Source organism: Homo sapiens, chromosome 2, assembly GCF_000001405.40.
Source record: "Homo sapiens chromosome 2, GRCh38.p14 Primary Assembly".
In the NCBI taxonomy this organism is placed as follows: domain Eukaryota; kingdom Metazoa; phylum Chordata; class Mammalia; order Primates; family Hominidae; genus Homo; species Homo sapiens.
Genome location: NC_000002.12, coordinates 204,204,216 through 204,227,676, shown reverse-complemented (window position 1 = coordinate 204,227,676; position 23,461 = coordinate 204,204,216). Strand labels below are relative to the sequence as shown.

Here is a 23,461-nt window from a genome sequence, read left to right as displayed (position 1 = left end):
GACTGTCTTATCAAATTATTTTTATAACAGCTTTGTTATTAACAAAGCATAAAGAGGGTTCTAAAATTCAACTAAGGACTTATTATTGTAGGAATACCCATTCTGATTAATGAAACTTATATTTAAAGTTGTCTTTCAACTAAATTATCATATTCCAGTCTTTTCATGTCATTGGGAAGAAAAAGCTGTGTCTCCTTTGGGGAGAATCATATTTCTGGTTTTGTAGGTTTTGGTGGTTGTCCTGGTTTTTTCTAGGATTGCTTTGGCCCTTTGAAATTAATAAGTATTTGTGTGTCCTAGGTACACTGGGGGAAGGGGGAACAAAGACATGTAAATAACATTCAGTTCTCAGGGAACTCTGATGTAAAAGCCCAGATATAAACATGGAAGGTTAGTAAGTCACAAAGGACTGAAGAGAAACACAGTGCAGTGGATGAACGTTCTAAATGGATTTAGACTGCCTAAGGGTTGGGATCTCAGCTCTAGCACTTAGTTGTTCTGTGATTTGGGGCAAGTCAATTCACCAGGGGTTTCATTTTTTTCTCACGATAAAATGCTGATAATAATTGTACTGATCTCACAGAAATATACATATAAAATAAGACAGTCCTCATAAAGCACTTAACACAGTGCACACTGAGTGAAAAGAGCTCAATACCTATCATGGGAGTCTAAATATCTCATAGAACCAGAAAGTATTTCCAAATACAGGGCACGACTCATAGATAAATGTGTAGCCAATAAGAGTTTAAGCTGAAAGCTAGGTAGAGGACTTGAAGATGGAGATAGGGTTTCAATAAGCAGAGAGATGAGGGGACCCTTTGCCTGGTGTTTGGGGACAAGCTCTGGTGACCTCCCACATCAGTATGAAGCTGAATCCGGGAGAGATACTGCAGGGCAGCCCCTGTCCAAGAGTAAAACCGGTGCATGTAAGAAGCGCAGTGAGTGAAACAGCTGTGGCTTTTCACCCCTCACGATATTTAAACTGAGGAATCAGTGTACATTAACAGTGCTTTATGAAAACAACCTCTGCTCCATCCATCCAGCACAAAACCCACACTCACAATTCATTCGCTAGGCTTATAAGTTTCTCAGGCTGTAGCAAATTGGAGAAATTGATGTTTACCCTGAAAGCTTGTACCACACGCTATTTGTAGCTGCCGTTGCCTTGGTACATGTCTGCCAGCGTGCCCGGACTTAAATCCCTGCATGATAACCTTTAACTCTTTGCTAGGAGGCAGAATCAATCCAAGGTAGAACTAAGTGGGAGGATAGAGGAGAGGGAAGGTACAGAGACTCAGGGACCCACACCACATCTATCAATAGACCAACATATTCTGGGCACAGGTGGGAGCAACCAGTCTTGTTAAATAGCAACAATTTCTAAAGTCTTTCCTGTGCTGATATTTCCAAAGAGTTCTTGGTCAATGTAAGAGAAAAAGCATTTCTGGGAAATAGGCTGATCATTTGGGGAAGGGAGAAAAGACTGAACTAAGTGTATTTCTGACAAATGCAAAGTGTACTGTTCCTATGTGAACACACTATGCATAATTTGGTTACAGGAGGCCACCATCGCAATTCTTTCTCAATCTCCCTCTTCCCCTCTCTCCCTCTCTCTCCTTCTCTCCCTCAAAGAGGTTCCACTGATTAATGCCTGAGAGAGCCTGGCAGCTTTCTGCTTTCTAATATGCTTCCTTGTATTTGCTGCAGGTGTTTAACTGGCTGTAAGGACAGTGTGAGGCATTTTGATGTATGTAAATTATGCCCATACTTTGAGCCTAATCATTGTTATAAAATTTATAGAGGATAAAACACAGGCAGTCATAAAAACTGAATTTTTACTTTGATCATGCAAAGTTATGGGTTCCCTCGATGATTAATCTTTTATGGGTCTTAAATATCACTGCCAATGTGAAGATTTAACAGTTTTCCTTCTGGCCAAATCTTCTCAAACAATAGAAGGGTAAACAAAAGCCACCCAGGATAATAGCGATAGGAACAAACTTACTTGCTGAGTGGTTTCAAGCTCAACACTTAGGCAGGAATAAAACAAATGTACTTTTCTAAAAGCAGCGATAGAATTAAAAATAGGAGATGATTTGGATAGTCCAGAACATTTCAGTCTTGCTCTGCCACAAGCTTGCTGGGTGATCTTACGCATGTCACTGAGTATCCCTGAACTTGTTTCTTCCACCATAAAATGTGGAGATTACCTTTTAAAAAGTTCCCAGGTTCTATTCCAGCTTCACCATTCTATAAAGAATTGTAATATATTTCTCGTTGTATTAGATGTATATATAAATAAAATTTACTGTGCTAGAAATTTGAGATTTGCACAGAATCATGCCGTAGGTATTGGTGGGGGTGAACAGCCCTTAAGTTGAGGAAAACCTAAAAAGAAAAAGAAAAAAAAAACAACAACAACAAAAAAAAAAAAATCCCAAATGAATAGTCAAGTGACTGAGCAAGTCACCTGACTTCTTGAGATGATAATCTCATCTGTTCTGTGGGGCTAATAATGTCTAATGCATGTATCCCATCAAATAGCAAATGAAATTCAAGCTATGAGTGTATTTTGAAAAAATATCAAAGCACTGTAAGATTGTGCTTATCACTGTTGTTTTTCTTTCTCTCAGTAGCAATATTGTCAGAAAAACAGGCACCTTTGCAGTATTACCACAGTATCTAGCACAATTCTTGAATCAAATGAGCATTAAACAGAGATTATATTTTTATTGTGGAATTGAATCATTACTAAACCTTAAACATCAAGGATCAGAAACACCAAATCTTGATGGCAGAAGGGAGGTAGGCAACATGGGTAGAGGACTAAGAGCAAGGGCCAACGCTGTTTCCCAGGAGGGCTCCAAGAACATAGGGTTCTCTGTTTAAGTGAGCTAGGCAAGCTCCATGCTTTCTCTTCTTGGAAAGTCACAATTCTCGTTAGCATAGTAAAAGCTCTGAGCAGCCCTGCAACAAAATAACAACATTCACTTCTACTTAACCCTGTGGTCTCCATATTTATTTGTGCCCTTAAATTCTTTCACTAACATTTCTTAGCATACTGAGTTGTTAATATACAGAACATAGTTGGGGAAGAGGTGAGCGAAGAGGCTCTGTGTCACTTACTTTAGAACTCTAGAGCAGCCATTTAATCCTTCCACTGCTCAGATGCCTCTTCAGTAAAGCTACTGTCTTCACAGGACCATTGTGAGTTAAGTTAAGAGCATTTAGTGTTCCCCTTCTTCAGTCATTGCTGCAGATTGTCCCTGAAAACCTGAACACATAACACCCTAAATGTCTCACCTCTCCTAACACGAGTCATTTATACACATTCATTTCTCCACCACCTCCTTACAGCTCTGAGAAATTGCCTTGCTTCAGGCTGGGTCCCTGCCATGTGACAATGGACACAGCGCTGAAGAACCAACTATGAACAAGACAAAAGATTGCTGCCCTCATGGAACTTTCTGTCCAGATGGAGAGACAGACAATTAAACAGGTAGTTATGCTTTGATATGATAAATATTCTAATAATAGTAATAGCTAATATTTATTGAATGCTTACTCTGCATATATTAATGATAGCAGCAGCTGCTCCAGATGGTCTGCCACTGCCAAGATGCCAACTGCAGCAGGGAGGCTTGGCCAGGGCCTCACGCTCCATGGAGCAGACAGCCCTGCCCTTCCCGGGTGCCACTGGAGCTGCCCACGCCGGGCTGTAGACCCGGGCATCTCTGTGCTCTTGGGGGCCCAGGAAGGTTCCCTTTCCCCTGACAGTCTTGTAAGTGCCTCCTGCCGCTGCCTGGCCTCTCCCTGCTCCTGGAGGCTGCTCTGATCATGGAGCAAGATTGGGACCAAGCTCGGGTGCTGTCGCAGCCCGGTCTAGTGGGCACATGCTTGAGGCAGCACTGACACACCAGCCCTCTGCCAGCTCGGACCCCTCTGGACTTTAGGCGCCAATGAGCATGAGAGGGAAGCCAAGCGGGGACTGAGGGCAGCTCAGCGTTGGCCTGCAGGCATCCCTTGGCACGAGCAGCCTGGGTGCCATGGACTGCAGCAGGAGGCAGACAAGCTCCTGGGCAGAAAAGGGTGGGACCCTGGTGAGGCCCCACCTTTGGGCCAGGGAAAGCCTGAAGCCTGGGGACTGGGCTGCCAGTCCTGTGGACCAGAGAGAGAACTCATGGTGCTTTTTCCTGGGCCCACCCCTGGCTGCCCATGGACCAATCAGCATGCACTTCCCCCCTCTGAAGCGCATAAAAGCCCCTGGACTCAGCTAGAACAGAGTAGAGGACGGGACGACCGGCTGCAGAGAGGAGCTGCCCTTTCTGCTGATAGCTGGAGAACACTGGATGACCAACAGCAGAGCAGAGCTTCCCACTCCAGGGATGACCTGCCTGCAGAGAGGAACAACCCACTCTAGGGCCTCCTCTCTGCTAAGCTGTGGAGAAGTCAGGGTGACCAACAGCAGAGAGGAGCCACCCACCCCAGAGCCTCTTCCTCTCTGCTGAGGGCTGAACACTCGTCAGGACACCCTGGCTACAGAAAGAAGCGGCCCACAGTGGGTCTCTGAGCTGTTCTAGTGCTCAGTAAAGCTCCTCTTTGTCTTGCTCACCCTCCACTTGTCTGCATGCCTCATTCTTCCTAGTCACAGGACAAGAACTTGGGACCTGTGACCCAAATGGCAAGGCTAGAAGAGCTGGAACACAAACAGGGTTGAAACATGCCCCTTGCTTGCCACGTTGCCAGTGAAGAGAGGGAGAGAAGAGCTGCAGCCCTTCGGGGATCCCAGACCTGGGAGCTCCCCAAGCAAGGGCTGTGACTCTCTCTTTGAGGCCCTGTGCTTCCTAGCATCTTCAAGCTTCTGAGTGCTACCACATTCCTTGGTGCCAGCTGGGGAAGCTTCTTGCAGTGCGCTTGGTCCAGGCGCAGCCTTGCAGAGAGCTGGTGCCTGTGCTGGCTCCTGGAGCTGCCCGCCCCACTGCAGTTGCTGGCATGCCTGACTGTGTGCAGTGGCTGGACCCTACACTTGCTCAATCACACACCCCTTGCCACTCCAAGCCTGGCTCACCCTTCCTTGGCAGACGTGGGATCCAGACCAGTAGTGTTAGCTGAACACAGCCTGCCAGGCCAAGTGGGCTCAATGAGCCGAGTGGGCCCAAGCAAAAGTCGGGCAAAGGTGCCACCAGCCACAGAGGTTTCCAGCCAGAAGAGTGACACCCCAAAGATCCTATAACATTAATTCATGTAATCCTCACAACTTTCATACAAAGTGTATGTTATTATATATTCCATTTATAGATGAGAAAATGGGGGTAGAGGAAGGTTAAAAGAAGTATGTGGTACTTACTAGAAGAGGTTATAGCAGGTGCCTCAAAGATGTGTTTTCTGAGACCTTAAGATGGGGTGGGAGTAGTCAGCACAGGTCAAGGAGTGCAGGAGGAGTGTTCTATGTTAAAAGGGCAGTAGTGCTATGGGGAAGGAGAGAGAGAAGTACATTGCAGCCCTGAGAGAAACCCAGTAGTCAGAGTATGTTGTTAAAGGTGGGGGGTGGGGTTGGTGGGGGGACTTGGAGTGGGTGGTGGTGACAGATTATGAGGCAGAGAGATAAAGACAATAGCTAGATCAGGAAGGGCATGCCAGCCACTTTAAAGACTTAACTTTATACTTAAAGCAAGCAGAAGTCTAAGAAAAATAGTGTTAGGATCAGTTGCTCTTGTGGCATTTAGAGAATTCAACTTGCTGCAGTATGGAGAAAGGATTAGAGGCAGGCAACATCAGAAAATCAGTTTGGAGACTGACACAGTATTCAAGGTAAAAGAAGATGAAATAGAGTAGCGACTGTGGTAATGGAGAGATGTAGATGAGTCGCAAAAGCATTTGGAACATGAATGCTTGGCTCCGGCAAGAGGAAAGAATCGAGGCAATGCTTGGCTTCTGGCTTGGGCAGCTGGGTAGAAGGCAGTGCCATTCATGCTACCAGTGGTAAGGAAGCAGGACTGGGGAAAGGTGATAACTTCCCTCTTGATGATGTGATGGATTTGAGGAATCTAGGAGACATCCAACTGGACATGCCCAGTAGATACTTGGAAATGTGAGTGTGGAGCATGGAAAGCAATCTAAGCGAAATAGAGCCTTTCCCATGGGATAGAACCCCATGGACAGTCTTCAGGAAGTAGAAGACGCAGGGGGAAACTGCCCACTTGGACACTTCTGGAAACTGCCCAGTTGGACACTTCTGGATCCAGATGTAATTGGCGTTCGGAGTGATAGAGACAAAGAGCCAAGTAGGAAACAAAGAAAAGAAACAGAACCTTATAGTCAAGGAGCCACCAACTTTAATTTCTCAGGATAGTAGATGCTCCTGATGCCTTGACCCTATCTCTTTGTCTCATCTATAACCCTGGCACGCTGACAGAGTTCTGCCTCTCAGCCTAAGAGTTTGATATGGCATTCAAATGCTTGATCATCTACATCCAGAAGAGTCAGTGTTCCAGGGAAATTCTCAACAAAGGAGAAAATGTAGTTGATAAATATCTCAGCTTCCTATATCCTCAGGGGCCCCCAGCGGCCTACAGTGGTAATGAGGTCATTAACCTACTTTTTAGACTTTCCTCCCTTTCTCATCTCTATTTCTCTGTCTCCTCCCTCATGTTGGCTTCCTGGAATCATTTCCCAAATAACCTACCTGTACCCAAGTCATTGTCTCAGAATTTGCTTCTGGGAAAACTCCAACTAAGAATAACAAATTATAATTACTGCCGGGAGTGACATGTAATCCCAGCTACTCTGGAGGCTGAGACAGGAGGATTAGTTAAGCCCAGGAGTTCAAGGCTGCAGTGAGCTATGATTGCACCACTGCACTCCAGCCTGGGCAACAGAGCAAGACCCTGTCTCTAAAAAGAATAAAATTAAATTAAATTAAATTAAAAATTATAATTACTTATTTGCTTCCTTATTTGACATTTCTTTGGAGATATATATTATATATATGCAATATATATGTATAGGTATATGTATATATATACATATATAGAGGGATATGTGTGTGTATATATATATATATATATATGTAAAAATGTGTTGGAGGAATACTTAATAGAAACCAAACTGATGTTCTATTTCAAACTGATGTACTTATTTGCTTCCTTATTTCACATTTCTTGGGATATATATGTGTGGGAATTTATACTAAGGAAATAATAATGGACAATGTTCACTGAGGCATGAATATTTTTGTGGCAAGAACAGAAACCAACCTAAATGTCTAATAATAATCAAATTAGCATACATATCCTATTATGGGCTGAATTATGTTCCCCAAAAATTTATATGTTGATGCACTAACCCCAATGTGACTGTACTTGGAGTTAACTAAGGTTAAATGATATCATAAGGATGAGGCCCTAATCCAACAGGACTGGAGCCCTTATAAGAAGATGGAGAGACACCAGAGAAATGAAGACACGGCAAGAAGGTGGCCACCTGCAAGCCAAGGAGAGAGGCCTCACCAGAAGCCCTGTTGGCACCTTGATCTCGAACTTCCAGTCTCCAGAACTGTGAGACAATAAATCTATGTTGTTTAAAATACTTACCCTAAGGTATTCTGTTATGACAGCCCTAGCAGACTAATATACCCCCAAATGGAATAATAATAATAATGATATACAGAGATGATTATGCATCAAGCAAAGTTCTAAGTGCCATGCAAATATTAATGTATTTAATCTACACAGGCTACACAGGAATTTTATGAGGAAGATACTTGTATTATTTTCATTTTATAATTGAGGAAATTGAATTACATAGAGGTTAAGTGATTTTACCCATGATCATGCAGCTAGTAAGTAGTGGACCTAGGATTTGAACTAGGCAATCTGGTTCCAGAGGGCATGCTCTAAACCAGTAGTCTCCAACATTTTTGGCACCAGGGGATGGTTTCATGGAAGACAATTCTCCCGTGGACTGGGGTAGGGGATGATTTAACTGCATTACATTTATTGTGCACTTTATTTCTATTTTTATTACACTGTAATATATAATGAAATAATTATACAACTCACCAGAATGTAGAATCAGTGAGAGCCCTGAGCTTGTTTTCCTGCAACTAGATGGTCCCATCTAGGGGTGATGGGAGATGGTGACAGATCATCAGGCATTAGATTCCCATAAGGAGTGCACAACCTAGAACCCTCCCATGTGCAGTTCACAATAGGGTTTGTGATCCTATGAGAATTTAATGCTGTTCCTGATCTGACAGGAGGCGGAGCTCAGGTGGTAATACAAGTGATGGGGAGTGGCTGTAAATACAGATGAAGCTTCTCTCACTTGGCCCCCCACTCACCTCCTTCTGTGCAGCCTGGTTCCTAACAAGTTACAGACCTGTGCCAGTCCATGGCCTGGGGGTTGGGGACCCCTGCTGTAAACCACAGATACTATCTCTCTAAGAAGATATTAGAATTATGGTGACGTATTTAAATTGCATGCAAAGATAGTATTAGGTGTTATTTTGAAAGTAGGTTAAAAACATATACAGTGATATGTATAGATTATGTATATATAGAGAGATATACACACATACATAATTTCTAATCATCAGTGCTTACATATATTATTATTTCATATATAGTTCATATATATATATTTACTGATATGGTCTGAATGTTTGAGTCCCCCCAAAATTCATATATTAAAATCATAGCCCCCAAAGCAATGATATTAGGAGGTAGGGCTTTAAGGAGGTGATTAGCTCATGAGTGTGGGGCCTTCATGCAACTAGTACCTTTATAAAGGAGACCCAAGAAAAACCCCATCATTTTTCCTCCATGTGAAGACACAGTAAGAAGACACCATCTATGAATCTATGAGGAAGCAGGCCCTCACCAGACACCAAATGTGCTGGTTCCTAGATCTTGGACTTCCCAGCCTCCAGAACTGTGAGAAATAAATTTCTGTTGGTTATAATCTACCTAGTTTATGCTATTTTGTTATAGAACCTCAGGAAGACTAAGATATACATACAGAGATAGAGAGACATTAAATATATATACACACATTATATATGAGACACATATTTATACATATTATATATACATTAAAATATTTTATGTAAACATAGCAAATACTCTAAAACATTATCTATGGCCATCTCTGAGTGGTAGGAATAATGTTCTTTTCTTTTTTCTTTGTTTGGCTGTTATATGTTTTATACATTTCCTACAATAAATATGTATTTATTTTCATTTGAAATTGATTATAATACGTTTGCTTAAAGTTAGAGTGGGGTATTTAAGTAACTGAATAAAGAAGTAAGGTGAGGAATAATGTGAAAGAAATTGATGTCTTTAGGTGGAAGAGAGTAAAGATTAAAAAGAATGTTTTGAGGAATGGGGTAGAATTTGAGTGACAGTGAAGGCTCACTTGGAGAGACCAAATTTTGGTATGTTGAGCATTCAAGGGGGGAATCGAAGTCAGTATTTTGTAGATCTTGGACTTAAACCTATCTGGCCAATCCATTAATTTGTTAATATTTATATTAATGAGTTTAGGATTTATGGTTTGGCTAGCTCTTTAATAAAACACAAATAGTGTGTTGTAATGAAAAAGGAGACAAGTAAGAACACTGTAGCTGTTATAATTGCTATAATGTGATCCTATTCCCAGATGTGGAAGTAGAGTGATATTTATATGTGAACTGGGTAAGACATAAGTTAGAAAAATGTCCTCACATTTCAGAAGCTCGAAAACTAATAGAGGGCCCAAGGAACCCTTACAGGGAGGATGTGTCATGGGAAGGTTGGCTTGTCTGGGGGCATTTAAGATATTAGAAAATATAAGCAATTTCAATTGTCAACGATTAGACAATCAGAGAAATTAGTCCTGCTGTGCAAGTTACACATCCCCTTGTTGCTCATTTATGGCTATCTATAAAAATATTATGGGTCAAATCCCATCACAAAGAACTTTAAGGAAGGTAAAAGATTGTTCACTTGATTGGAATTTACTATAATCAACATTGTTAGAAATCTCATTGCCAGTACTTATAGGCCACTTTCCCAGGGTCAAGGACTAGACATAGGACAAAGCGGGAGCCAACGTCCCTCCAAGATGAGGTGGTTCATTAAAGCTGCCCAAGCATGCAGACCAAGGCAGAAATGTATGCTTGCAGAAGTCAATTCTCTTTGCCCTCTGACATGTTCCCTTTTGGTTTTATTCCCCAGAGAACCAAGGCAATTACAATTTCTTGTAATTTTTTAAGGACAATTATATTTTACTCTTTATTTGTACTACACTAGCTAGAGCCACTGTATTATATTTCTCTTCCAGTTTGCATTATGTTACACAGTCAGGTGTTAGATGTTTTCATTATAACAAGCCACTAGGACCAGTAATGGAACATTGATTGTACTGAGATTGTGTGTGTGTGTGTGTGTGTGTGTGTGTGTCTTGCATACACGTAATATATATGAGGAAATTTTGCTATAACAAGACCAACAAGGTACTATTACCATGGACCATTGGTCAAAGCATAAATATGTTTTTATTAGACTAAATTTTGGGTTTCAGTGATATTCATAATAATAATATTTGTCTTGTAATAACAATGTAGAAATCCCCTATGGTGAAATAAAAAGCAACATTTCCCGATGTAGAAAGTGAATTGAAAATACAACTGTGAATTGAAAATACTAATCTCATACTTCTGTAATAGCAAAAGCTGCTTGTGTTCATGTAAGTCAACTGAGAAAGTTCTAGATGGTAATTGCTTAACAGTATTCCAGAAACTTTCAAGGGAGTTTCATTTATTTATTCATTCAACAAATTATTTAGCACTAATGTGTGCGTGGTAACATTAAAGGGTATGGGGATACCATGATTAACACACATAAACAATGCTAACTTTGTGGAGGTATGTTCTAGTAAAACACTGGCAAACAAATCTAGAAAATAAGATAAGTAAGAAACTAGGCTGGGCGTGCTTGGCGTGGTTGTTCACATCTGTAATCCTAGCACTTTGGGAGGCCGAGGCAGGAGGATCACTTGAGCTCAGGAGTTTGAGACCAGCCTGGGCAACATAGGGAGACCTCAAGTCTACAAAAAAAAATTTTTTCATTAGCCAGGCATGGTGGCACGCCCCTATAGCCCCAGCTACGCAGGAGGCTAAGGTGGAGGAGTCACCTGGGCCTGGGAGGTAGACTCTGCAGTGAACCATGATTGCACCACTGAACTCCAACCAGGGCGACAGAGCAGAACCCTGCCCCAAAAATAAAAAAAGAAAGAAAGAAACTACGGTTGACCCTTGAACAATGTGAGTGGTAGTGGTGCTGACCCCCTGTGCAGTCAAAAATCCATATATAACTTTTTACTCCCTAAAAACCTAACTACTAATAGCCTATGGTTGACCAGAAGCCTTACAGATAACATAAACAGTTGATTAACACGTCTTTTGTGGGTTATATGTATTATATACTGTATTCTTAAAATAAGCTAAAGAAAAGAAAATGTTATCAAGAAAATCATAAGGAAGAGAAAATATATTTACTGTTCATTAAGTGGAAGTGGATAATCATAGAGGTCTTGGGCATCATTGTCCTCGTTATGTTAAATAGGCTGAGTTGGAGGAGAAGGAAGAGGAAGGACTGGTCTTGCTGTCTCAGGATGACAGAGGCAAAGAAGATGGAGGAGGTAGAAGGTGAGGCAAGAAAGATTTATTGAAAAAAATATGTGTGTAAATGGACCATGCAGTACAAATTTGTGTTGTTCAAGGGCCAACTGCATATACTATATTAGAGAGAGAGACATAATAAGGGAATTAAAACAGAAAGTTTTCTGTTGTCGGGGGTGGAGTTGTAATTTTACATATGGTGGAAATGAAAGTCTGCTTTATGAATCTAACTTTTGAACAAACACCTGAAAAAGGAAGACTAGCTATGAAACTATCTAGGGGAAGAGAATTCTAGGCAGAGGGAACAGTAAGGAAAAAAGGTCTGAGGTATGAGCCTGCCTGGTCACCTGGTATTTTTAAAGAAAAATCAGGAGATCAGTATGGCTGGAGTGGAGTGGCCAAAGGAGAGAATTACAGAATATAATTTAGACAGAAAACAAGGTCCAAATCATGCATGGTGGCGTAGGTCATTATTAGAACTGAGAAGCCTCAGAAGGGTTTTGAGTATTCGAAACGTGAAGAACTATAGTGATTTCCAAGTAAAGCTATGGGCAATGTCACACGCTAATACTCTGATTCAAATCAAGTGCTATGGTCTGAATGTTTGTGTCCCTCAAAATGCATACATTCACATTCTAGCCTCCAAGTTGATGGTATTAGGAAGTGGTGCCACTGGGAGGTAATTAGGTCATGAGGGCAGAGTCCTCATAAAAGGCATTAGTGCCCTTATAAAAGAGTCCTGAGAGGGATCCCTCACTTCCACTGTGTGAGGACACAGAGAGAAGGTGCTGTCTATGAAACAGGAAGAGGACCCTCATGGGATGCTAAATCCGCTAACACATTGATCTTGGACTCCACAGTCTCCAGAACTCTAAGAAATAAGTGTTTGTTTTTTATAAGCTGCCTATGCCACCTTACTATGACAGCATGAAAGGACTAAAACATCAAGTTACTTACTTTTCTGATTAGAGTGTGATGATGTATAGAAAAGTTGTTTTAAAATCACAAATATAAAAGTTTCTTAAGAAGATTGAGATTAATCTTCTCTATTAATCTTAACAGATTTTTGTGTCCCATTTCTATTTGAGTCTGAAAGCAACCCTACTATAAGCCGCAAGTTTCTTTTCATTGTTGTTAAGTTTAGATTGGTCAAACTGTCAGAATTCAAGCTAGTCAATCTCAGATATAAAATGAAAACTATGGGATGCACTGTAAACATTCATAAGGTATTTATGGTACTGTTTCTTTACTTTCAAGAACATGCCTTAGTTTCCAATTATAAACAAATGAATTGAGTAATAACAGAGTAGCTCAATCAAACTAACTCTCTTACAAAAAAAAAGCTGTAAGATCTGGAAAACTATTATTACACACACATAGACACATGCAAACACACAATTATTTAAGGGCTCAGAAGAGTGATTAAAAGTAAGCAGAAACTGCAGGGAGGGTTTACTTTGAAAGGGAAACCATGGACTGGGTGTGGTGGCTCATACCTGTAATCCCAGCACTTTGGGAGGCCGAGGCGGGGATCACCTGAGGTCAGGAGTTCAAGACCAGCCTGGCCAACTGGTGAAACCCCATCTCTACTAAATATACAAAAATTAGCTGGTCGTGGTGGTGGGTGCCTGTAATCCTAGCTACTCAGGAGGCTGAGGCAGGAGAATCACTTGAACCTGGGAGGCAGAGGTTGCAGTGAGCCGAGATCGTGCCATTGCAGTCCAGCCTGGGTGAAAAGAGCGAAACTCTATCAAAAAGAAAGGAAGAGAGAAAGAGAGGAAGGAAGGAAGGAAGATAGGAAGGAAGGAAGGAAGGAAGGAAGGAAGGAAGGAAGGAAGGAAGGAAGGAAGGGAGGGAGGGAGGGAGGGAGGGGGGAAAGAGAGAGAGAAAGGAAGAAAGAAAGAAAAAGAAAGAAGAAAAAGAAAGAAAAGAAAGGAAGAAAGAAGGAAAGAAAGAGAAAGAAAGAAAAAGAAAGAAAGAAAGAGAAAGAGGAAAGAGGAACGATGAAAGATAAAATTTGCAAGTTTATGGTATTTAGTCTGAAAGTATTGCCTATTCCACAAGAGGCTCAAGTGACAGAAAGCCACAGCTTTACAGGATAAATTAAAAATAAATAAATAAACAAGGATACATCATAGTCAAACTGCTGAAAAAACAAACAAACAAAGATAAAGAGACAATCTTGAAAGCAGGCAATGAAAAATGAGATACTCCATACAGGAGAACAATGATAAGAATAACTTCTGACTTGTCTAGAGAAACAGTGGGGGGTAGAAGACAATGGTACAGTATCTTTAAAGTGCTGAAAGGGAAAAACTGTTAACCCAGAAGTTTTCACCCAGTGAAAATACCTGCCAAAATTGAAAGCTAAAATAAAACATTTTAACATGAACAAAAACTCAGTGCATTTGTTGCCAGCAGGCTTGCACTACAAAATATGCTGAAAAGAGTTCTTTTGGCTAAAGAAAATGGTATGCTTGAGTCTACATGAAAAAATAAGGATTTCTAGAAATAGAAAATATGTGGATACATCTTAAAGACTTCTGTGCATACATACATACACACACATATGTAATATAGTCAATTCTTGTTATTTACAGTAATTATGTTCTATAAAGTAGCTGTGAACATGAAATTAGTGAACACTGAATTATTGCTCCTAGGGGAAATACAGGATTAGGCTCCTGAAATCTTCTGGTCATAACATTTTCATCAACTGATCAATACTTGATCTTGTGTGTTTCTGTTTGAAGACAAGTTATTTCATATATATTGTTGATTCATTAATATTGAACTCATGGCCAACAGCAGTATAACTCCTGCTTGAAAGAAATTTATCTATCTCACTATTTTCTCACAGCCTTCTTGTGCAAAGCCTATTACTCAGCACTTCACCTCACACTTGGGGGACGTTTTAAATGGCAAAATCACTAACAAAAAGCACACAAATGCAATGTGGCACTAAATAGACTATGAAAAATACACTTATTTATAATGTCTATATAAGGGAGGGCTGAATTAAGAACGCATGGCTGGGCGTGGTGGCACATGCCTGTAATCCCAGCACTTTGGGAGGCCAAGGTGGGTGGATCACAAGGTCAGGAGTTCGAGACCAGCCTGGCCAAGATGGTGAAACCCCGTCTCTACTAAAAATATAAAAATTAGCTGGGCGTGGTGGCAGGCGCCTATAATCCCAGTTACTTGGGAGGCTGAGGCAGGAGAATCACTTGAAACAGGGAGGCGGAGGTTGCAGTGAGCCGAGATCGTGCCACTGCACGCTAGCCTGGGTGACAGAGCAAGACTCCATCTCAAAAAATAAAAAAAAAGGCACAGCATTTCCTGGTTTGACCTCAGCTGGGAATATATGCATCAGGTGAATTTTTTGTCTCTCTACACCTGTCTGCGAATTACCATGAGAAAGCTATTGTATTGATTTTGGGATTGTAAAAAAAATGTAGTGAGTAGGTGAATTTGCAAATATGAAAACTAGAAGTAATAAAATTGACTGTACATTTATATATATTTTCCCTTAATTAAAAAATGACTTGTTATATATAAAATTATGAAACTGTATGTAAGATTTATGAAACACATGGAGTTAATATAACAGATAAAATAACATGAAGAATGAAGGGATAAATAGATCTATACTGCTTCAAGGTAACTGTATTTTATGTTAAGCAATAGACTATGAACTCTAGGTAGATTATGAAAGTTAACAATGCATATTGTAATCCCTAGGACAACCACCAAAAAAAATGCAAAGAAGTATAGCTAAAAAGTCAATAGAGGAAATAAAACTAGAATATGAAAATCTGTATATCCCACCCCAAAACAGGGAATAAAAATAAATAAAAAACAAATAGTAAATGGCAAACCTAACTCTAGCCATTCTAATAATTACATTAAATTTGAATAACTAATCACTGCAATAAAAGCCAGAGATTGACAAAATGGATTTAAAAAAAGAAGATCTACCTCAATGCTGTCCACACTGCTCACAAAAGATGTACTTTAATACAAAAATACAAATAAGTTAAATGTAAAATGATGAAAAATGTTATATCATGCAAATACCAATCATAAGACAGCTGTAGTGGCTATTTTATTGTCAGACAAAATAAACTTGAAGACAAGGAGTATTATTAGAGACAAAACATGACATTTCACAATAATTAAAGGGTTAATTCATCAGTAACAATTACCATTTTAAATGGGTATGGACTTAAATTTTATTTCAAAAAATGTGAAGCAAAAACAAAATGAAGGGGAAATACATAAATGCAAAATTATAGTTGGAGATTTGTAACACTCTTTTCTCAGTGATTTATTGAACAACCAGTCAAAAAAATTAGCAAGGATATAGAAGATTAGACCACAGCTAACAATCTTGACTTCATTACATTTGTAGAACACTACCACAACAATGATAGAATGAAGATTTATTTCCAGGAAACATGGGACATTCACTAGAATCGACCATAGGCTAGGCTTATAAAGGGTCTCACTATACTTCAAAAGATTGAAATTTTATAGAGTATGTTCTCTGACCGCAAAGAGCTTAAATTAGAACTCAATAATAATAAACTATCTAGAAAAAACACAACATTTAGAAATTAAACAGTAAATGTTGATATAACCAATGGACAAAAGAAGAAATCACAAGAAAAATATGAATATTCATCATCTAAATTATAATAAAAATACAACATATCAAAAGTTGTGTGACGTAACTAAAGCAGTGATTAGAATGATAAGTGAGATTTTGAGTGCTTATGTTAGAAGACCTGATTTCAATGATCTTAAGATGCTAAAAAAGATGAGTAAGAAGAATCCTAAGTAGCACCAATAAAATAATAAAGAGCAGGTATCAATGAAATAGAAAAGAGGAAAACAGAAAAAAATCAAATCCCAAGAAAGTTATTTGAAAATATTAATAAAATCAGTAATCTCATAATAAAACAAATAAGGGGGAAAAAGAAAAAACACAAATTACAAGTATCAGGAATAAGTCAAGTTTCATGATACAAGATTAACAGATAAAAATCAATTGTATTTCTATATGCTGGCAAATAGAAGGTGGACACTTAAAAATTAATTATATTTATATAGCATCAGAAAACATAAAATACTTGGGAATAACTGGAACAAAAGGTGAGCCAAACCTCTGTACTGAAAACTACTAAACATCGCTGACAGAAACTAAAGAAGACTTAAATAAATAGACACACCAATTCATAGGTTGGAAGATTCAGTGTTGTTAAAATACTAATTTTCCTCAAATTAATTTATAGAATCAATGCAATCAAATTATAATGTCACCAGGCTTTTTTTAATAGAAAATGAAAAGCTGACTTCAAAATTTATATGGAAATGCAAATAACTTAGAACAGCTAAACAATTTTTTTAAAGAAAAACCAAGTTCATAGATTTACATATACTATCTGCCTTCAAGACTTCCTACAAAGCTACAATAATGAACGCAATGAGTTATTGGCATAAGAAGAGACACATAGATCAATAGAACATAATGCAGAATCCAGAAATTGACCTGTACTTACATGGTTAATTGATTTTTGACAATAATGTCAAGGCAATTCAGTGGGGGAAAGGAAAGTGTTCTTAATAAAGGTGCTGGGACAAATGAATATCTACAAGAAAAATTAAAAAAGAATCTCAATCCCTTCCTCATACCATACAAACAAAAATTTAGATGATGATAAATCTAAGCGTGAAAGCTAAAATTACAGCTTTTAGAAGAAAAGCTTTTAGGAATATTAAAACAGGAGAACAGCTTCATAAACTAAGGTAACTGAATGTTTCTTAAAAATCACAAAGAAAGCAATAAACAAAAAAAATTATACACTATCAAATTTTAAAACTTCTGCTCACGAAAAGACACTGTTAAGATAATGAATTGACCATCTGCAGACTAGGGAGAAAATATTTGCAAAACATATCTCTGAAAAAGGATTTGCATACAGAATATATAAATAACTCATTTTTTTCCTCTGGTAACATGTTTCATTTTATTTTTTAATATAATTTCACTTTTATTTTAGATTCAGTGGGTACAAGTTTGTTACATGAATAAATTGCATGGGTGCTGAGGTTTGGGGTACAATTGATCTCTTCACCCAGTAGTGAGCATAGTACCCAATAGATTTTCAACGCTTGCCCCCAACCCCAGTAGTGCCCAGAGTCTACTGTTGCCATGTTTATGTCCGTGGATACCCAATATGTAGCTCTCACTTACAAGAAAAACCCAATTTTTTAAAGAAGATATTCCAATGACCAATAAGCACTTGAAAAACTGTTCATCATCATTAATCATAGAGGAAAAGCTAATTAAAACCACAATAAGATACCACTACACATGCATCACAATGGTTGACATTTAAAATATGGGCCAATACCAAATGTGGACAAGGATGTGGGGCAATCAGAGCCTTTGTACACTGCTGGTGGAAATGTAAAATTGTGTAACTGCTTTGGAAAACTGATGTGTAGTTTCTTTTAAAGTTATATATACAGTTTCTTATAAAGTTCTACACATATTGGCTCAGTAATTCATTTCTCATTATGTATCCAACTGAAATGAAAACAAATGTCTACCAAATACTTGTACAAGAGTGTTTACTGCTGCTTTTTTCATAATAGCTGACAACTGAAGACAGCCCAAGTGTTCATCAACGAAAGAATTATAACAAAATACTGCTCAACAAAAAAAGTGATAAACTACCTATACATGAAAAAATATGGATAAATCTCACAGACATTATACAAAGTGAAGAAAAAAGATATATAGGTACATAACTGTATGATTCCATGTATATGATGTTCTTGAAACAGGCAAAAATTGTCTAAAATGACTTAGAAGCGCCATGAAGGAATTTTCTGAGAGATGAAAATATTTAAATGTATAATGGGATGAAGTTTGCATGAGTCTATCCATTCATTAAAATTATACAGCTAAGATTTGTCCATTTCAGTATACATAAATTTTGGCTACAATGGTAAATAATAATGAAGTGAGGGGGTGGGGAGGAGGTGAAAATATGGATGACCCAAGAAGAGCAGAATGTTGGAATGCTGTGGCTTCAATGTGTTTTCCAAAGTTTATGTATTGAAATCTTAATCCCCAATGCAAGAGTGTTGTGAGGTGGGGCCTAATGAGAGGTCCTGAGGGCTCTGGCCTCATGAATGGTTTCATGTTGTTATCACAACATTGACTTTGTTATAAACTCTAGTTCAGCACCCTCTTACTCGCACTCTCTCTTGCCTTTCATCCTTCTGACATGGGATGATGCACAAAGGTCCTCACTAGATGCCAGTGCCATGCTCCTGGGCTTCCTAGCCTCTAGAACTGGGAGCCAAATAAATTTCTGTTCATTGTAAGTTTCTCAGTCTGTGGTATTCTCTTATAGCAACACAAAATGAACTAAGAAATTTTTAATACTGGGTGATGGGTATACAGAGAATCAATATTTGATTCTATTTATTTTCTATTTATATTTCTGTATTTGAATTTTTTCTAAAATTGTTTTAAAAATGTTTAAAAGCCAGCAAAAATCCAATATTAGGGCAGACATTAAAATCAGGCCATTGACCTCAATTTGAGACACTTTTTCTATGAATGTTTAAATTTTTGATTTTCAAGTTCTTTTGAGGGAGACATTCTCCAAAATGATATTTCTTTTATGATTTTACCATTAGCATTCCATCAACAAATATTTGAGTGCCCTCTATGTCCAGATACTTTGCTGAGTGCCTCTTAGGAAAACCTTCAAAGATGTGGGTGTCACTGGGAATTGGGAGTTGAACAAGTTTTCTTGGGAAAGCCATTAAAGTGTTGGGATTAAATCACTCACTTTTAAGGGGCTTCAAAGTATCTGTTTTCTAAGGAATTTCATCTGAAATAAAAGAACACATGGAGTGGGTTTTCCTGAGATGTGAGTTGCCCCAGCTGTTGCCTTCCTTCAACTTCCTCTGTGGCTGCTACCACTGCAGCCTGTTCACCCAAAGGGTGTGTGGATGTGTTTTTGTTCTTGGATCTGCACCGACTCCTGTGTTCTTTACCAAAATCTGATGAGGACAGAAAGGGATTTTTCTCTTGTCAAAGCAACTTTTTAACATTCTTAAGTCTCCCCCTATGAGAATTTTTGGAAAGGGTAAGGATTGTGACTTCTTCTGTTGACATGACAACAGTTAGCAGCTGGTTCTGGGCTCATGTGACTTTCCTGTCCACAGGTCCCAGACCCCAAACCTGAGCCTCTTGCAAATGGGATGGATGCAATCTGCAAGTCCCACCCTTCCAGCTTTCCATCTAGTCTTTGCGCAGTAATAATGTGAATGGAAGTAGTCATGGGGAGATAGATGGTGATGAAGTTCAGGACATGCTACCCCCAAATACGACAGCTTGGCATTTGAGGAAACAGCAGAAGTAGGAAGGTCTCTCTGACCTTCTCTCATATAAAGAACTCATTTTTTTTCTGGTACCATATTTCATTTTATTTTTTTAATATAATTTCACTTTTATTTTAGATTCAGTGCATACATGTGCAAGTTTATTACATAAATATATTGCATGATGCTAAGGTTTGGGGTAAAATTGATCTCTTGACCCAGTAATGAGCATAGTACCCAATGGAATGCTATTCTCTCCAGAAGCAAGCCATAAAAGAATGCTCTGACTTTCCTCTAACATAGGTCATAGGACCCTCATTCACAGGGATCCTTCCTTTGCGCAGAGGAAAGGAATGAAGGCAGAGACATCAGAGAAGGTTCTGTACAAACAGGCCTTGCTAGGTTCCCCTCAGTTTATTACCGTTAGACCATATACCCTTTTGTCCAATCATACTTCTGCATGACTGTCCACTCTTCATCAAACCCAATCACAAAAATACAGCTTTTCATGTCTCTTTGGGTCTTTATTTCTGAAGGCTCCCGTGTCACATAAAACTTATATTAAACAATTTTGTCCATTTTTATCCTGTTCATTGATCTTTTGTTATAAAGATCTCAACAAAGTACCTTGCAATGACTGGGTAAAAGATATTAATTTCTGTCCCCTACCATGGCTAATGTCACATTGGGTGATGTACAGTTTGGCGACAAATTGACTATTGCTAAAGCCACTTTTCTTAAGGTCCCTGAAGATAGTGAAAGGGAGAGGGAAGGAAAGAGGGGTGAGGGAGGAAAAAGAGAGAGAAGAGGAAGGAAAGAGAAAAACTTTATCCAGCTGTCTGACAGAGTGGGTCTTAATTACATTCCTCCACATTACAAAAGGATTATATACACATTCAGATTTAGTAGACTGGAGAAACTTGCACTCTCTCCCCAGGAGAAGGAACATTCAGCTTTTCGGGGACTTTGCCTCTGTCTGAGATGATATGGGAAGAGCAATCCATGGTGGAAGAGAGCAGTCTGAAAAACCGTTCTTTCACTGACACATTCCTAGCAATGCCCAGAAATGCCTAAGAGGAAGGAAGCCTTATATTAACAGAGCAGAGATTTGCCTTTTTCTTAAAACACTTAATCTATTCTTTTACCTTATTTTAGCAATTCTGACTTGTGTAGTTTCTTTCGGTTTGAAACCATAATTCACTCTTTTTTTTTTTTTTTTTTTGAAATGGAGTCTCGCTCTGTCACCCAGGCTGCAGTGCAGTGGCACCATCTCAGCTCACTGCAGCCTCTGTCTCCCGGGTTCAAGCAATTCTCTGCCTCAGCCTCCCAAGTAGCTGGGATTACAGGTGCCCGCCACCACACCTGGCTAATTTTTTTGTATTTTTAGTAGAGACGGGGTTTCGTCATCTTGCCCAGGCTGGTCTTGAACTCCTGACCTCGTGATCCACCTGCCTCGGCCTCCCAAAGTGCTGGGATCACAGGCGTGACTGTGCCCAGCCTCATAATTTACTTTTTAAGGCAAGACACCTTTGAGTTTATCCATTTCTCACCTGCTCCTCCCCCTCACACATTAAACTCTCATCTACTTAAGTTAAAATTAAGTTTTCTTTTCTAAGAAGGTTAAGGAAATCAGAGAAGGAAAGGATCTAGGAAGAGGGTCTAGACACCAGAGAGAGCAAAGAAAATTCTTTAAAACCAGATCGAAAACTGTCTCTCTTGCTTCCTCTTTCTTTCTTTCTTTTCCCCTGCCAAGTAAACCTTTTCCTGATTACAGTAAACACCTTCTTAACAGATCAAAAGGAACGATTTTAAAGTGAGCTGCTTACTCACAAAATTCATTATGGTAATGCCCCATCACAGTGGGCTGAGCGGCTCCCTCAGCAGCCTGGCTTTGATCTGCCGCTGTGGCCTCGCATCTGTTCCTGCAGTTAATCTACATTTTGTTGGCGTCAGACTTTTTCAGGACTTATGCCTCGGGTTTACAAAGCAGCCCAGTAGAATAAAAAGAGCCAGCCTAGAGGCAGATTTTTTCCCTCCACATTTTAAAAATATACATTTTGAAACATCAGTCCCAACATATGTTAGATATTGAGCTCTTCCTTCCCACCCAGGTGAATTGACCCCTTTTACTACTGTCTGTGAAATTCACCCTGTAGTAGAGCTGTCTTAACACTGTAGCGCTCATGTCTGCAACGCAGGTTTCTTGCAGAGCACAATTTATTATTAATGATATAACAATTTATAGTGCGCCAGCTTCCTAAACCCCAAAGTATCTTACAGATGCATAACAAAGAGTGCCAGGCCACCTACCTATGCGTTAAATAGCGCCACCCTAACCTGAAAGGAGCCACCTCTACAAAGAGAGTCATTTTGCCTGTGTGGTGCCCAGGACTTCCCCAGGCTGGCATCAGTGCCAGAGGTGGAGACTGCAGCAAGCAACTGGGACTCTCTAATTTGCGATGATATAACTTTGACCTTTAGAAAGACAGAGCATTTTGATCTGATTTCTGCAAATGACTTACCTGGGGGTATCACTCTGTTGTTCAGTGTCCTACTCAATAAAACTGATGGAAAATAACCTGTTTTGTTTTGCCATCTGCCTGCATCTCTCAAATCACCAATTGCCCAACTCAGCCTTCTAAATACTTTTTCTCAGTTCTCACTCTCTTTGATATCTCTGAAGTATTTAGAACTGTTGTTCATCAGCTGGGTGCAGTGGCTCATGCCCATAATCCCAACACTTTGGGAGGCCAAGGCAGGTGGATCACCTGAGGTCAGGAGTTTGAGACCAGCCTGGCCAACGTGGTAAAACCACAACTCTACTAAAAATACAAAAATTAGCTGGGTATGGTGGCGGGTGCCTATAATCCCAGCTACTTGGGAGGCTGAGGCACAAGAATCGCTTGAACCCAGGAGGCAGAGTTTGCAGTGAGCTGAGATCACGCCACTGCACTCCAGCCTGGACAGTAGAATGAGACTCCGTCTCAAAAAGAACAAAAACAAAAACAAAAAAACAAAAAAACTATCAGGCCGGGCAGCTGGCTCTCACCTGTAATCCCAGCACTTTGGGAGGCCAAGGCAGGTGGATCACCTGAGATCAGGAGTTCGAGACCAGCCTGACCAACATGGAAAAACCCAGTCTCTACTAAAAATACAAAATTAGCTGGACATAGTGGCGCACGCCTGTAATCCCAGCTACTCGGGGGGCTGAGGCAGGAGAATCGCTTGAACCCAGGAGGCGGAGGTTGCAGTGGGCCGAGATCGCGCCATTGCACTCCAGCCTGGGCAACAAGACTGAAACTCTGTCTCAAAAGAAAAAAAAAAAAAAGAACTATCAATCATCCTCTTTCAAAATCTCTGTCCTCTCCTGGCTTCTATAATGCTAGACTC

The 23,461-nt window shown here is 39.7% G+C and overlaps 1 long non-coding RNA gene across 1 annotated transcript, besides 1 other annotated feature; it reads left to right on the top strand.

Moving 5' to 3' along the window:
- The first annotated feature begins 3,272 nt into the window (after nucleotides 1–3,272).
- LOC124906115 (uncharacterized) lies at nucleotides 3,273–9,249 on the top strand. Its single transcript, XR_007088055.1, has 2 exons — nucleotides 3,273–3,502; nucleotides 7,419–9,249. It is a non-coding gene; the product is annotated as an uncharacterized LOC124906115 (long non-coding RNA).
- Nucleotides 21,542–22,296: an enhancer, noted in NCBI's record as "OCT4-NANOG-H3K27ac hESC enhancer chr2:205070104-205070858 (GRCh37/hg19 assembly coordinates)". NCBI's record gives its function as "activates a minimal SCP1, AML or CMV promoter by ChIP-STARR-seq in naive and primed H9 embryonic stem cells {active_cell/tissue: H9 hESC(naive and primed)}" and the evidence as "EXISTENCE:reporter gene assay evidence [ECO:0000049][PMID:30033119]".